At 41.1% G+C, this 16,947-nt stretch overlaps 1 protein-coding gene across 3 annotated transcripts in view; it reads left to right on the top strand.

The window, feature by feature from the left end:
* PCCB (propionyl-CoA carboxylase subunit beta) overlaps window positions 1-16,947 on the top strand; it is a 79,830-nt gene that overhangs the window by 25,201 nt on the left and 37,682 nt on the right. For all 3 annotated transcript variants that reach the window (NM_001178014.2, NM_000532.5, XM_011512873.2), the window contains one exon: window positions 8,297-8,407. In NM_001178014.2, the coding sequence (NP_001171485.1) occupies window positions 8,297-8,407 (111 nt within the window). The remainder of the gene's footprint in view (window positions 1-8,296; window positions 8,408-16,947) is intronic.

Here is a 16,947-nt window from a genome sequence, read left to right on the forward strand (position 1 = left end):
CTCGTTTGTGTAGAGTATTTCTTCTAATTGTTCTTGAATTTATTTTTGATTTGGCTGTGGTTTTTTTAAGTTTCTTTTTCCTCTTCACTAAGGATGTGACTTTAGTGTTTATAGTTTATTATAGCCTAATGTGATTCTTAATGCTTTTAGGGGGAAGACTGTATGAGTTCCTTGGCTATAGAGAGTCTTTGTATGATGGCTTCTTTAGATGCTGGTTGTATTTATTTATTTATTTATTTATTTTTGTTGAGATGGCGTCTCGCTCTGTCACTCAGGCTGGAGTGCAGTGGCACAATCTTGGCTCACTGCAACCTCCACTTCCCGGGTTCAAGTGATTCTCCTGCCTCAGCTTCCCGAGTAGCTGGGACTACAGGTGTGCACCACTACGCCTGGCTAATTTTTGTATTTTTAGTAGAGACGGGGTTTCAGGATGTTGGCCAGGCTGGTCACAAACTCCTGACCTCAGGTGATCCACCTGCCTTGGCCTCCCAAAGTGTTGGGATTACAGGCGTGAGCCACTGCCCCTGGCCTGTATTTAATAGATATGTACTTGATGTGTGGGCAAGTTCACTGTCTCCTATGGGGTTGAGATGGAAAGGTCTCTTGAAGCTCATCTCATTCCCCTGTGGTGTGTGCTTTTTTATTTATTTAATTTTTCCCCTGTATTTTATTTACTAAGTTGATGGTTAAGGCTTCAGGCCAGTAGGGGAGCTGTCCCTGGGTAGGAACCAGTTGTGGCTAAAGCAAATGGGTAAATGCAATACTCAGTAAGGCAGAGAGGTTCCACCCTTGATGAAAGTGGCTGGGGGAACTCTCAATTAGATGCACTGAGGTCTTATCAAGGGGAAGGGTGGGAGCCACCTCAGCTCCTTTGCCAGGCCAGTAGGAAAGCTATTCACCTCCCAGACTCGCTCCTGCCCTAGTGTTCCAGCTATTCGGATCAGACAGGCATCTCTTTTCATCTGTAGGACTGTTGTTGTTCCACACAGAGAGGAATTTGTGACTCTGCCTCTCTTGCAAGCCTGAACTTGGGCCAGGGCGGGGGTGGGGGTTGGGGGATTCCTCCTGTGGAGATGCAGTCACTCTGTAGTGTTCCAGGAAGGCTGTCTATAGGTTCACCTTTGCCAAGCTCCTGTGGAGAAGCCCCAACTGTGTCTGTGTAGTGGTGGACAAGGTGGGAGAGAAGATACCTTCTCCAGGACCCTTCATGAGCAGCAAAGCTGCCTGATTGTTGGGGTAGAGCTGCAGACTTTCCCTTCTGAGCCCAGCACTGCAATTGTGTCTCTGCTGAAAGGAACTTCCCATCAGTGGAAAGATCTGGAACTCAAGGCCTGCCATCTGAATTCTTTTGTCCCATGGGGTATTCCCTTGGTGTGGTGGTCTCCTCCTTCCCTTAGGAGTAAGAATTCCTGAGAGCCAGGATAAGTTGATTGCTATTCTTCTGGGTCTAGCCACCCAGTGGGGCTGCCCAACTCCAGGCTGGTGCTGGGGAATGTCTGCAAGGGATCCGGTAATGGGACCTGTCCTCAAGTCTCCCAGCAAGGGATATACCAACACTAGTGCTGATGGGAGTGTCAGGTGAGTGAGGTAGACTCTTTGAGGTTCCTTGGTTACAGAAAGCCTTAGTGTGCTGGCTTTCTCGAATGCTGGTTATAATAGTAGTGAACTGGTCACGTGGACAGATGCAGGACCTCCTGGTTAGCCAGGGTTTTGCAGGCAATGATGATAGCTTAGGTCATGCACTGGTTTTCTCCTTTCTGTTCACAGTGTTATTCTACCTAGAGATGCTGTAGTGGACTGTGTTGGTTGGCATCCAGCCTGGAGGTAGCGTTTACAAAAGGGCACCAGCTGCAGTAGTAGCAGTGGGATTCGAGCTTGTCCTGTGTTGCCCAGGAGGTATTCTGGTTTCTCAGGTGACAACGGGGTCCATAAAGCTGCCAAAAGTTTCTGTCCTTTGTATTAAGTAACCAGGGTGGGTGGAGGGGTACAGCCAGGTGGGGGCTGGGTCAGGTGGGTCTACACTCTGTCTCTCCATGTGTGGGGAAAGCCGTGGCTCCTATGAGGGTTGGGGGGGCGGTTCTCAGGTCATTAGGGTAATGTTCCAGAGAGGAATATAACTGCCTCTACTGCACAGAAGAGATCGCACAGTGTGTGGGGAGTAACAGGTGGCACTAAGCCTCACCCAGATCCCACACGGTCGGAAAGGCAGATCTCACTCCCTCTGTGCTCTGCTAGCTGCACTGGGCTAAGTTCCAGGCAGCCTAGGCTCAGAACTCAAACCTGCCCCAGGCCATAAGCTTTCCCTGTGGGAAAGCAGCTGTGGCTTTCAGGCCATGCTCCTCCCAGGCCACCTGCAGGGCCAGGCACCTGGCTCCTGCACTTGTGGCTGCAGTGCACTTCCCCCTGCCCCTGGGAGGTATGGGTTCTGGACAAAGGAGTTCATCCTCACTCAGTGTTATATCTTGAAATGGGGAGATTCTTTCAACCTGCGACCACTACCTGAGCTTGTTGGCTGACTTCCCCAAGGTCCCCTGTGAGGTACAATAAAGAATGGCTTACCTTGGTCTGCACTGGAGACTGGGAATGCCTGCAAAGCACTTCCCGCCACTGTTTCTACTTTTATATTTCTTACTGCTCCCTAAATCAGTCCCAGCCCTGGGTAAGGTTAAGGCCTTCCCCCATGGCCTGGATTTTCAGGTTCCCCAGTGGGAACCTGAAAGCAGCTTCTCTCTATCTCACACTCTGGAGACTTACAGTTTTTCCCTTGTCTTATGGTTTAGGCTGCAGACTGCCACTTCTTTAAAAGGTCTGTGGATTCTTTCAGTTTTCCTGTTAAGTTCCTGCGTGGCTTCTTGGAAAAAGAGTCACCATGTGATTCTCAATACACTATTCTGTTCTTCTAAGTGGGAGAGGCATGCTAACACTGCTTCTTATCTGCCATCTTGGTGGGGGTGGAAAAACCAAAACCTCTCAAAGTATTTTCTAACTTCTCTTGTAGATTCTTCTTTTGCCTATTGCTTATTTAGAAGTGTTTTGATTAATTTTTACGTGTTTGTGAATTTTTCAGTTTTCCTATTGTTATTGAATTATAGTTTTATTCCATTGTGATCAGAAAAGATGTTTTTTATGATTCCAATCATTTTAAATTTAAGATTTGTTTTGTGGATTAATGTATGGTCTCTCCTGGAGAATGTTGCATATGCACTTGACAAGAATATATACTCTGTTGTTGGGTGGAGTGTTCTCTATAGGTCTTTTATATGTATTAGTTCATAGTGTTGTTCAAGTGTACTGTTAACTTACCGATCTTCTGTCTAGTTGTTCTGTCTGTTATTAGAAGTGAGGTGTTAAGTCTGCAACTATTATTGTGCACCTATTTCTCCCCACAATTCTGTTAACTTTTGCTTTGTGTATTTTAGGGCTCTTGTTGCTTCATAGATTTTGGGGCTCTGTTAGGTGTGTATATTTTTTTAACTGGTATATTTTCTAGATGTGAACCTTTTATCAATATGTCTCTCTAGTAAGTTTTTGATTTAAAGTCTCTTTAGTCTGATAGTAATATAGCCACCTAGGGTCTATTTTGGTTACCCTTTGCATGGAATATTTTTTTCCATCCTTTAGTTTACCTCTTCATGTCTTTGTATCTAAAGTGAAGCTCCTGTAAATAGCATACAGATAGATTCTGTCTGTATGCAATCTGTCAATCCCTGTCTTTTAATAGAAGAGTTTAATCCATTTATACTTAGCATGATTGCTGAAAAAGAAGGATTTACTTCTGCCATTTAGTTATTTCTGTATGTGTTTTGGTTTTTTATGCCTCAGTTCCTCCATTATGGCCTTGGGGTGGTGATATTTAGTTGAGTTGTTTGCCTTTTTGATTCACTTCTTTCATTTTAATCATATTTTAAAGTTTGTTTTCTTAGTGGTTACCTTGGGGATTATAATTAATATCTTGAACTAGTTGGAAGAATACCAGGTTAGCTTTAGTAGTACATAGACATACTGCTTCTGTAACTCTCCATCCTTCCTTTTTTATGTTGTTATTGTCATAGATTATATCTTTATACATGTTATACTCATTAACAACAGATTTATTGTTTCATGCATTTGCATTTTATTTTTATTTATTTATTTATTTATTTTTTGAGACGGAGTTTCGCTCTGTCGCCCAGGCTGGAGTGCAGTGGCGTGATCTCGACTCACTGCAAGCTCCGCCTCCCAGGTTCACGCCATTCTCCTGCCTCAGCCTCCCGTGTAGCTGGGACTACAGGCGCGCACCACCATGCCTGGCTAATTTTTGTATTTTTAGTAGAGACGGGGTTTCACCGTGTTAGCCAGGATGGTCTCGATCTCCTGACCTCGTGATCTGCCCGTCTCGGCCTCCCAAAGTGCTGGGATTACAGGCGTGAGCCACCGCGCCCGGCCTTTTTATTTATTTTTGTAAATTTTATTTTTTGTGCAGACTCCTCTGCTGGGGCCGCAACTGCTGAGAGGAGCAGCACATTTGCCTTTTAAATCACATAGGAAAAAGACATTACAAACCAAAGTACAACACTACTTTTATATTTACCTAGGAAGTTACATTTATTAGTGTTCTTTATTTTTTCTCATGACCTCATGTTACTGTCTAATATCCTTTTGTTTCAGACTAAAGGACTCCCTGTAGAATTTCTTGTATGGCGTGTCTATTGCAAATGAATGCTCTCAGCTTTTGTTGACTTGGAAATGTCTTAATTTTCCCTTCTTTCTTGAAGGATAGTTTTGCTGGATATAAAGTTATTGGTTGACCAGTTATTTTGTTTCAATACTTCTTTTTTTCTTTTTGAGACAGAGTTTTGCTCTGTTGCCCAGGATGGAGTGCAGTGGTGCGATCTTGGCGCACAGCAACTCTGCCTGCCAGGCTCAAATGATTCTCCCTCCTCAGCCTCCTGAGTAGCTGGGGCCATAGGCATGCACCACCATGCCTAGCTAATTTTTGTATATTTTGTAAAGGCAGGGTTTCACCATGTTGCCCAGGTGGGTCTCAAACTCGTAGACTCAAGCAGTTCACCTGCCTTGGTCTCCCAAAGAGCTGCAATTACAGGCATGAGCCATTGTGCCCAGCCTTCTTTCAATATTTTGTTTTTATTTTTATTTTAGACACAGGGTCTTGCTGTGTCACGCAGAATAGAGTGCAGTGGCATGATCATGGCTCATTGCAGCATTGACCTTATAGGATCAAGCAGTCTTCCTACCTTGGCCTTCTGAGTAGCTAGTAGAACACCACTATGCCCGACCAACCAAAAAAACTTTCTGTAGAGATCAGGGCTCACTATATCGTCCAGGCTGGTCTCAAACTCTTGGCCTCAAGTGGTCCTCCTGCCTCATTCTCCCAAAGTGCTGGGATTACAGGTGTGAGCCAGCGCACCTGACTTTTCAGTACTTTAAATATGTCCCACTGCCTTCCGGCCTCCATGGTTAATCTTGCTGAGGATCAGTTGCATGGGATCAGTTGCTTCTATCTTGCTGCTTTCAAGTTTCTCTTATTGTGTTTTGACAGTTTGACTATAATATGTCTCCGTGTAGATCTCTTTGAGTTCATACTGCTTGGAGTTTGTTGAGCTTCTTGGGTATGTATACTTATGTCTTTCATCAAATGTGGGAAGTTTTCAGTCATTATTTCTTCAAATCTTTGACCCTTTCTTTCTGTTCTTCTGAGATTCCTATAATGTGTATATTGGTATGTTTGGTTTCCCACAGGTCCCTCAGGCTCTATTAATTTCTCCTTTTCTTTTTTCTGGTTCCTTATACTAGATTATTTTGTTTTGTATTCCAGTTTCCTGATCCTTTTTTCTGCTTGCTTAAGTCTGCTGTTGAACCCCTGAAATGAATTTTTCATTTCAGTTATTGTCAACTCCAGGCTTTCTGCTTGGTTCCTTTTCATAATTTCTGTCTCTTTGTGGTGTTCTCATTTTGTTCAGACATTGATTTCCTGATTTCCTGTAGTTTTTTCCCCCCACAGCTTTCTTTAGCTCATTGAACATATTTAAGACAGTTCATGTGCCATCTTTGACTATTAAGTCCAATATCTGGGTTTCTTCAGAGATGATTTTTGTTAAATTATTTTTTTCTTGTGAATGGGCCATACTTGCTTATTTCTTTGTATGATTTGTGATTTTTGTTGAGGATGAGAAATTCTGAATATTATGTTTGGAAGTTTGGAAGTCTAGTTCTCCTACTTTTCAGGAATAGCCGATTTTTGCTTGTCAACTGCTGGGTCCATCTGTTTGAACTTTTGCAAGCTGTTTTTGCAAAGAGTATGTTCCTTTTTTAATATGGACATTGAAATTTTAGTTCTCTTATCACTGTGTTTAACCAGCAATCTGACAGTAATTTCCTTAAATGTCTGTCTCCCAGAAGTGTGGAGGGGTGTGGAACAAACTACCTTTTTAAATCCCTTGTGGCTGGGAAGCTGCTTGAGCCAATCAGGGTTGAAACAATGCCAGCCTCTATGCTTAGCCCCTCAGCCATCAAAAGCAGTGGTCAGTAATCAGAACATACAACCTTGATTTTTCAAGGTTGAAAAACCAAGATGCAAAGGTTCTAATTTCCCAATCTGGCACCAACTAGCTACACTAGGAACATCCTCGTGGCTACCTGCCATGGGTTGTTGGCTGGGGGATTATAGCAGCCATGTTATTAATAAATGTGAAGTTTACTGAAATTTACTTGCTGTTTTATCAAATTCTCCTCTGGGCCCTGAAGTGTTTGAGTAGACTCCAGAGTTCAAAAATAGTTGCTTTAGACAGCTGAATAGTTGTTTTGATCTCAGATATTCTTGGAGCTTCCTGTTCTCTCTTCTGTGATGTCACTCAGTTTTTTTATGGTAAGCATATAGTTTTAGTGTACCATTTTAATTTCTAGTGTTTTTTAGCTGTATTTTTTGAGTTATTTTTAGTAGTTGCTCTAAGGGTTACTATATATCTCTTAATTTATCACAGTCTGCTTCAAATTAATACTGACTTAATTCTGGTAAGACAGGAACTTTGCTCCAATGTAGCTCCATTTTCTCCCCCTTCATTTGTGCTTTTATTGTTATGTAATACTCAAAACAGTGTTAATTATTGCTTTATACAGTCTTGTTTTTCAAAGTATTAAGAAAAGAGAACTATACTTATGCAGTGTTTATAATCACATATTTATCATTTTCAGCACTCTTAATTGGTTCTTGTGGATTTGAATTATAGTCTGGTGTTATTTTCTTTCATCCAGTAGGACATTTTGAGCTGGTATGGGCAATGGTGGCAGCCTTGGTTAAGAATGCCACAGGCTTTCACTGTTCTTATCTCAAGTTTAGTAGTTTTTCATGAATAAACACTTCTCAATTTGTTACATTTGGCTCATTTTTAGAACCCCAAAATACTCGTTTTTGACAATGCTGTCCAGTTGTTTTTGGGGAGAGAATTTTCTGAACTCTTCACTCTGCCACAGCTGGAAGTCTCCCCTACTACCTTGATATCTTTGCAGAAAGCATAGATTACATTTTGCACTGTCCTTAGCTGTGTATAGATTGGGCTTAGAGCCAAGGCAGGCTGAAAAGTGAACCTACTTTTCCTAAGCTGATGGGACTTAGGAGAAGGAAAGAATTTGGAAGTAGGGCAAAGAATAATTGGGCCTTTTATCATCTTGCCTGGGTCTTTTGAGCCCCCACATCCTATCTTTCCTGAGGCTTAGTCCTTCACAACACAGTGTCCTTATGGAGGCTTTCTGGCTCCTTCTACCGCCTTCTCTCCTGCATTCCTTGTCTGGGGATGGGCAGAGTAGACACTGGGTACTCAGTGTCAAGAAGCACCTGCTTGTACCCTTGCGTGCCTTCTGTGGAGGGTGTGGAGGGACTCAAAATAGAGGTCAGGGTGCCAAGATAAGTGTTGGCTCTGCAAACTCTGCATGAGGTTTTCAGTCTTCTTTCAGGCAGCTTTGCACAGATGGGGGGCTTTGCATTTGGAGCTGTGGTGAGGATGGTGGGATACACTCTGTACCTCATGCCCTTAGTGAAGGTTTTAGGGAACTGCTGCCCAGGAGGGGAGGGGAGAGAAAATACTTGCCTCAGAAAGTAATATGCTGACCATCCTACCAGTTACGGGGAGAAAATGCACATATAATTCTTAAAGAACTTCACTGATTAGGTCTGTTGCCTCCTGTATAGAATTTCTGTGGGAAAAAAGCCAAATGTTATCTTATTGTTGTCTTTATCTTTCCACAGATAATGCCTCAAACATCTCTGTAACCAGATGCTTTTGCTTTTCTGTTTTGGCAGAGGAATGTTACGGCATCCGGAGTCATCCCTCAGATTTCTCTGATCATGGGCCCATGTGCTGGTGGGGCCGTCTACTCCCCAGCCCTAACAGACTTCACGTTCATGGTAAAGGTAAGAAAGAAGGGCCTGTTTTTGGTGCCGTTTGAGATTTGTGCAGTTCCTTACCTGCAATAAAAATAATTCCTGACCCAGATCTAGGTTGTTACCTGCATTCTCATTGGCTTTCAGCATAGTGATGATAAGGTGTTAATGGAGAGAGGGTTTTGGCATGAAATCTGTAGCTTGTGGGGGTTCAGTGGCAGGGGATGCTTATGTACTTCATTGGTGGGTGATTTTACTTGTTGATCTGAATTGCAAATGATTTTCAGGTAATCAAAGAATCCTGTCCTTTGACCAGATAGATGACTGTTTACTGAGTCCTATTCAAGAAGTTTCTCATGGAAGGCTTTTCTGTAATCTGTTTATTGGGAAGTTGTTTCTTCCTTTATTTCTTCAGCTCCTTGCCATTTTATTACATTGTGTCCATAATGGTAAAGGATAAATCTGATCTCACACTTCATTTTCAGAGGTACATATCTTTATTACATGACTTTAATGGACTTATATTTTAAAAATATTTTTAAATGAAGTCTATTTGAAGTTATACATGAGTAATTACCATTCATCTCAAACCTTGCTTTAAAAAAATCAGCCTTTTCTTCTTAAAATATTAATAAAAATGAACATTGGATGCCAAGACAGAATGGTTGGGGGGAAAAAGTAGTGATAGCCATCCAACTTGAGGAGAGGAGTTCTAGAGGGAGTGTAAATGGGAAACCCTTTGTTCTCAAGGGAAGTTAGGCAGTAGGAATTCAAAAGTTTCACAAAGTGCTTACCACTTTGACCCAACTATTCTGTTCTTAGTGATATACCGAAAGTAGTGTAAGTGTTCAACAATAAGAGTGTCTTTTATTAATCAAATTTAAGATGGGCCATACACAGTGTCTCACGCCTGTAATCCCAGCACTTGGGAGGCTGATTCAGGTGGATCACTTGAGCTCAGGAGTTTTAGACCAGCCTAGGCAACGTAGCGAAACCCCATCTCTACAAAAAAATACAAAAATTAGCTGGGCGTGGTGGTGCATACCTGTGGTCCCAGCTACTTGGGAGGCTGAGGTGGGAGGATCACTCGAGCCCAGAAGGTCAAGGCAGCAGTGAGCCAAGATCGTGCCACTGCACTCTAGCTCTGGGTGACAGAGGAAGACCCTGCCTCAAAAAAAAAAAAAAAAAAAAGGTAAGATGACCACTTCTCTTACTTGGTGGACAATGCAGAATTTTCTGAACTTTGCTTACTAAGTCTATATATACACACCTAGCTGGTGCTACCCCCATTCTCTCCTCCTTCCTGCCTGTTACGAAGGGAGGTGTGGGATCAATTCCTCTGGCTAGAGCCATCCTTTCCTCCTGCTACACACATCCACATTGCTGAATATAACTCTCCACCCTTCTTCAGGACCCTTATACTGTTCCTTTTCTCCTTTCTCTTTAGTATCTTCAGTCTGTCCGTTGGTACTAGATCCTCCCATCAAAACTTAATCACACTCAGGTCTTTCCTATCATCAAAACAAAAACTGTCCTCTAGTTGGCATACTCCTGTAGCTCTTGCTGTGTTTCTCTCTTGCCATCCCATTCTTTAACACGTGTTAATTTAGCTTTGTCCCCTAGACCACTAAATCGTTTTTTTTTTTTAAGGTCCTCAGTGACTTGCATCACTGTAAATGCAGTTTAACTCTCATTTTCCTGTCTTTCAACAGTATTCCCTTGGCTTCCATTATACCATACTCTGGCATTTCTTCTCACAACTCTGACCATACCTTCCTGGTTTCCATTGGCAATTTACATGATTCCATTCAGACTCTAGATGCTGGAGTTCATTTCAACTGCTTTCTCTTTTAATTCTGTGTTTTATTCTAAGCAATCTCATTTTCTGCTTACAAAACTTTAGTTAATAATTGCATATTAGTGAGACTTCCTCTCTTGTCCTCAGCACCATTCTTAAGCTGTCACCATTCTACATCTTAAATATTCTGTGTATTTAATAAGAGTGCAGTGGAAAATACTAAGTCTTTTTTAAAGGACTACACAAGGTAATTATAAAGTTCTTATGGGAGGAAGAAACACCATGCAAGAATAAACATTCTATGAAAGTAGTGTAATGAGGAGTTAGCCCTACCAGGTGCCAGGATATAAAACTACAATAACTAAAACTGTCTGAAGAACTTGTAGGTAAATGGACAGAAAGACCAAGGGACATTACAGAATTGATACATAGATCTATATCTATTTGGACATTATGATGAAAAGGATATTATTCTAAGCAGAGTCACTGATAATAACAATTTCTTATGTCAGAGATACCAGTGATTGCTGCATCACTAAATCCAGTTGACATTTCTCACCCTTTGTCTTACCTGTTGACAACATTTGCTCTAGCTGATCACTCCAGTCTCATGACTTTAAATACTGATCCGTATGCTGACAACTCTGAAATCTGTTCCTCCAGGATTATATTTTTAAGAGCCTACCAGAATTTCCATTTGGACTTTAATGGGTATCTCAAACTTAACAGGTTTTGATTTCTACCAAGCTTCTCCTGCATTGCTCTCCTGCAGCCTTCGCCATTTTAAATGGCAGGTCTAGTCTTCCAGTGGCTCAGGTAAAAGCTTTGACACTGCCTTGACTCGTCTTTTGCTATCACATCCCAAATTTAGTCAGAAGGTCCTGTTGGCTTTACTTTAGAATATAATCCACAATATAATCAAATTGCTTCTTAGCACGACTACTTACTTCTTACTAACAAAACTGCTACCACTTTGATTCAAGCACATCATTTCCCACCTGATTATTACAGAATCCTCCTGACTGGTCTCCCTGCTTCTGAACCTGGGAGCTGAAGGTTGCAGTGAGCGCTTTGGGAGGCTGAGGCGGGTGGATCACTTGAGGCTAGTAGTTTGAGACCAGCATGGCCAACATGATGAAACCCTGTCTCTACTAAAAATACAAAAATTAGCCAAGCGTGGTGGTACGTGCTTGTAATACCAGCTACTCGGGAGGCTGAGGCAGGAGAATCGCTTCAACCTGAGAGGCGGAGGTTGCAGTGAACCAAGATCGCGCCACTGCACTCCAGCCTGGGTGGCAGAGCAAGACTCTGTCTCGGAAAAAAAAAAAAAAATAATAAAAATAACCCAGGTCAGGAAATAGCTCTTCAAGAGCCCTGTCATCATGATCCTTTCTAAGGATCATTGTAGCCTCCATCCTGCTTAGAATTTGTTATTAATAATAATTCTTTATTGTCTCAGCTTTTATGGTAGTGTTTTTATTTGCTTTGCTTCATAGTTGAAAATAAAAATTGCCTCCCTAAACAATGTGGATTAGCGTTTCCTGTTTTGACCTTTACGTTAAGTGAAACCATATAATATGCTTTCTTGTGTGCATGGCTTCTGGCTCATTATGTTGTTAAGATTTATCTATGTTGTTCTTTGAAAATGTAGTTCATTCACTTTAATAGCTGTGTAGTAAGTGTGTGTGTGTGTTTTTTCTTTTGTGTGTGTTTGGTGTTTTTTGTTTTTTTTTTGAGACAGAGTTTTGCTCTGTCACCCAGGCTGGAGTGCAGTGACATGGATCTCACCTCACTGGAACCTTTGCCTCCTCGGTTTAAGTGATTCTCACACCTCAGCCTCCCATGTAGCTGGGACTACAGGCGTGTGCCACCACACACCCGGCTAATTTTTTGTATTTTTGGTAGAGATGGATTTTGCTGTGTTGGCCAGGGTGGTCTCCAAACTCTTGGCCTCAAGTAATCTGCCGGCCTCAGCCTCCTAAAGTGCTGGGAGTATAGGCATGAGCCACTGCGCCCAGTTATAGTAAATATTTCTTAACATATTCATTCATTCCACTGCAGATGGACATTTGAATTATTTCAAGATTTTTGCCATTGCAAATGATGCTGATGTAAACATTTTTCTATATGTGTCTTGGTGCGCACATTTTATTTTCTGGTGCTGATGTAAACATTTCACATTAGAGGCAATCTTAGGTCATAGGATATATATGTCTTCAGCTTCTCTAGGTAATGCCCGTCTGTTTACTAAACAGGTTGCAGCCAGCAATTTGAGAATTTCACTTGTTTCACATCCTTGCCAGCACTTACATTAACATAGTTTAATTGTGCCAGTTTGATGCTTGTGGTATAGTCTCTTATTGTGTTGTCAATTTGCATTGACTCAATTTGCATTAGTCCATGACTGATAAAGCTGAGTGCCTTTTTGTATGATTCCTGTTCTTCTAAATTAAGGTATGTTTATGACTCAGAATGTAGTCTATCTTGGTGAATGTTCCATGGGAGCTTGAGAAGAAAGCGTATTTTGTTGTTAGATGAAGTATGTCCATCATATCCTGTTTATTGATACTGTTTTTCTTTTAATTTTAAAAATGATTTCTATTTATTTTACTTCTTAAAATGTTTTTTATTATTTTTTTTTATTTTTTGAGACGGAGTCTCCCCCTCTCACCCAGGCTGGAGTGCAGTGGTGTGATCTCAGCTCACTGCAACCTTCGGCTCCCAGGTTCAAGTGATCCTCCTGCCTCAGCCTCCTGTGTAGCTGGGACTACAGGCACACACTGCCATGCCTGCCTAATTTTTTTTTTTTATTTTGGTAGAGAACTGGTCTCACTGTGTTGCTTAGACTGGTCTTGAACTCCTGGGCTCAAGCAATCGTCCTCCCTCCCAAAGTGCTGGGATTACGGGTATAAGCCACAGCACCTGGTCTATAAAAATGTTTAGAGACAGGGTCTCACTCTGTTGCCCAGGCTGGAGTGCAGTGGTATGATCATAGCTTACCACAGCCTCGACCTGCTGGGCTCAAGTGATCCTCCTGTGTAGCTGGGATTACAGGCACATGCCAACACACCTGGCTAATTTTTTATTTATTTTATTTATTTTTTTGAGACAAGGTCTTGCTGTGTCGCCCATGCTGAAGAGCAGTGGTGCGATCTCGGCTCACTGCATCCTTGACCTCCTGGGGTCAAGCAATCCTCTCACCTTAGCCTCCTGAGTAGCTGGGACTATAGGTGTGTGCCACCATGCCTGGCCAATTTTTTTATTTTTGTAGAGACAGGGTTTCACCATGTTGGCCAGGCTAATTTTTATTTATTTTAATTTTTGTAGAGATGGGGTCTTGCCATATTGTCATAGGCTGGTCTTAACCCCTGGCCTCAAGTAATCCTCTCACCTAGGGCCCTTGAGTTGCTGGGATTATAGGCATGAGACACTGTGCCCAGCTGATTGGTGTTACTGAGTTCATCTATGTCTTTACTGTTTCTGCCTGCTGGATCTGTCCACTTTTGATAGAGGAGTGTTAAGATCTTCAACTGTAATCATGGATTCATCTATTTCTCCTTCCAGTGCTATCAGTATTTGCCTCATGTTATTTTGATGCTCTGTTGTTAGGTGCATACACATGAAGGACTGTTTGTCTCCTTGGAGAATTGACCCCTTTATCATTATGCAGAATTCCTCTGTATAATAACTTTCCTTGGTCTGAAGCCTTTTCTTTCTGAAATTAATATAGCTACTCCTGATTTCTTTTGATTAGTCTTAGCATGTAATTAATATCTTTCTGCATTCATTTACTTTTAATCTTTATGTCTATTTCAAGTGGGTTTTTTGTAGACATCCCTTATAGTTGTGTCTTGTTTCTTGATCTAGTCTGACAATCCGTCTTTTAATTGATACATTTAGACCATTGACATTCAGAGAGATTGTTGGTATAGTTGGATTAGTATCTACCATATTTGTTACTGTTTTCTTTTTGTTGTATTTGTTCTTATTTTTGTCTTCCACTTTTCTGCCTTTTGTGATTTTAATTGAGCATTCTATATGATTCCATTTTTCTCCTTTATTAACATGTTATACTTTTTTTTTACCTTCTTCAGTGGTTGCCTTAGAGGTTGCAATATAATTTACAGCTATTTTAAGTTAATTTCAGATAACACTTTTCTGCTTCCCAGGTTGTATGAGTACCTTATAATAGCAAAATCATTCTAATTCCTTCCTCCTATCCCTCATATGATATATATAAAATATGTGTACATAATTGCACTTGGTCTTAGCCAAAAGGCTGAGAAGCGATGTGCACATAATTCAATTGTACATAATTGAATGTGTACATAATTGAATTTTTGCTACTATTAATTTGAATCAAAAGTTTTCATTTTACCTTCATTTATTCCTTCTTGAATGCTCTTTCTTTCTTTATGTAGATATAAGTTTCTGATCTTTATCATTTACCTTTTCTGTAAAGAATTTTGCTTAACATTTTTTGCAAGGCAGGTCTACTGGCAGGAGATTACCTCAAGTTTTGTTTGTTTGAGAAGGTCTGTATTTTTCCTTCACTTTTGAAGAATAATTTTGCAGAGCACAGAATTCTAGGTTGGTAGGATCTTTCCCCTCAACACTTTAAATATTTCATTCCACTCTCTTCGTTCTTGCATGGTTTCTAAGAAAAATTTGGATATAATTATTATTTTTGGTCCTCTATAGGCAAAATGTTTTTTTCTTGTGGCTGCCTTTAGGATATTTTCTTTATAATTGATTTTCTGTAGTTTGGAAATAATGTCCTAAGTGTAGTTTTTTGTTTTTGTTTGTTTGTTTGTCTTTTGTTTTTTTAGAGATGGGGGTCTCCCTGTGTTTCCCAGGCTGGTTCAAACTCCTGGGCTCACATGGTCTTCCTGCCTCAGCCTCATGAGTGGCTGGGACAACAGGTGTGCACCACTACACCTAGCTTTCTCTGTGTAGTTTTTTTTTTTTTTTTTGTCATTCATCTTGCTTGATGGTCTCTGAGTTTATTGGATCTGTGGTTTGGTGTCTGACAATTTGGGGAACTTTTCTGTCATTATTGCTTCCTATATTCTGTTCTTTTTTCTCTTTCTGCTCCTTCTGGAATTCTCATTATGTATATGTTACATCGTTTGTAATTTGTGCCACAGTTTTTAGATACTCCAGTTTTGTTTTGTTTTTTTTGATCCATTTTTTTCTCTTCGCTTTTCAATTTGAGTGGTTTCTCTTGAGATATCCTCAAGCTCAGAGATTCTTTCCTCAAGCATGCCCAGTCTACCAAAAAACATCAAATGCATTCTTTATTTCTGTTGCAGTGTTTCCAATCCCTGGTATATTTTAGTTATTTTTTTAGAATTTCCATTTCTCTGCTTACATTGCTCATCTGCTTGCTGTCTACTCTATCCATGAGAGCCCTTAAACCATTTTGTTTGTTTTTGTTTTTTGAGATGGAGTCTTGCTGTCTTGGCCAGGCTAGTGTTGAACGCCTGGGCTCAAGTGATCCTCCCACCTCAGCCTCCTGAGTACCCAAGACTACAGACACATGCCATTACACCTGGCAAACATCTTAATTGTAGTTGTTTCAAATTTCTGGTCTGATAATTCCAACATTTCTGCTACATCTGATTCCAGTTCTGATGCTTATTCTCTCTTCAAACTTTGTTTTTTGTCTTTTAGTGTGTCTTATGACTTATTCCTGATAGCTGGACATGATACACTAGGTAAAAGGAACTATTGTAAATAGGCCCTTAGTAATGATAAGGAGCTGGGGAAGAGGAAGTGTTCTGTAGTCTTATGAGTAGGTGTCAGTCTTTTAGTGAGCCTGTGCCTCTGAACTATGAATGTCATGTGTCTCAGTCTCTCGTACTTTTTTGGTGGGACGGTGGCTAGAGCGGGTTGGGGCTGGCCATTTCCCCTCTTCCACATGGAAAGCAAGAGCTGGCTTGAGTTTGGTATTTTTCTTCCCTCGCGTCAGCAGTTTCTGATAAAACTTCAGCAGGTTAGGCTCTTATCATATAGTTTTGCCTGAGAGAAGACCCTGTTAAGAATGATGCTCTCGTGCGTTTCAGAAGGGTCTTTTTTTCCCCCATGCATGTCAGAAGCATGAGGGAGTTTTCTCTGATTATCACTGTGAGAACCTTGTTGAGTTCCTAGAGGTAAAACTCACAAAAGTGTGGGAGCCCCCAATGATTGGCCGGCCCTGGAGTCTTGATCTCTCCGACTTGTCCATGCTGGGCCTCCAGCAATTTGTCAGCTATAGTTCCGGTTTTCCTACATCAGCCCTGGCTCTGGAGGAGATTTGTGCTTGTGGGTTTCTGCCCTGCAAGGCTCAATTTTCTGCATTTGCCAGTTGGTCTCCAGTTTTGGGGTGCTTTGTTCTGCAAAGACCTCACCTCTTTGATGGACCTAAGAAAAACTGTTGGTTTTTCCCCTGCAACTTTTTCAGCTTTTTATTTGTTAAGAAGGAGTATCAACTTTTAGCTTCTTATGTGCTGGACTAGAAACCTGAAATTTTGTGTCTCTAGTTTTTTTTTTTTTTAACAGTTTCAAATAAGGCTGCTATAAACATTTGTTTAGAAGTCTGTGTGAAGTGGGGAAGACCTTTGTAGCTAGACCTTTCTAGCAAGATTTCAAACCAAGAAGCCATAAGATAAAAGACTGATATAATGCATATGATAGACTAAGGACTAATTTCCTTAGTACATAAAAAAGCCAATGATGTATTAGAAATGGGCAAAGAACATGAATAGTGAGTTCAGAGAGCACTGTAGTAATA

The sequence above is a fragment of the Homo sapiens genome, chromosome 3, assembly GCF_000001405.40.
Source record: "Homo sapiens chromosome 3, GRCh38.p14 Primary Assembly".
Classification (NCBI taxonomy): domain Eukaryota; kingdom Metazoa; phylum Chordata; class Mammalia; order Primates; family Hominidae; genus Homo; species Homo sapiens.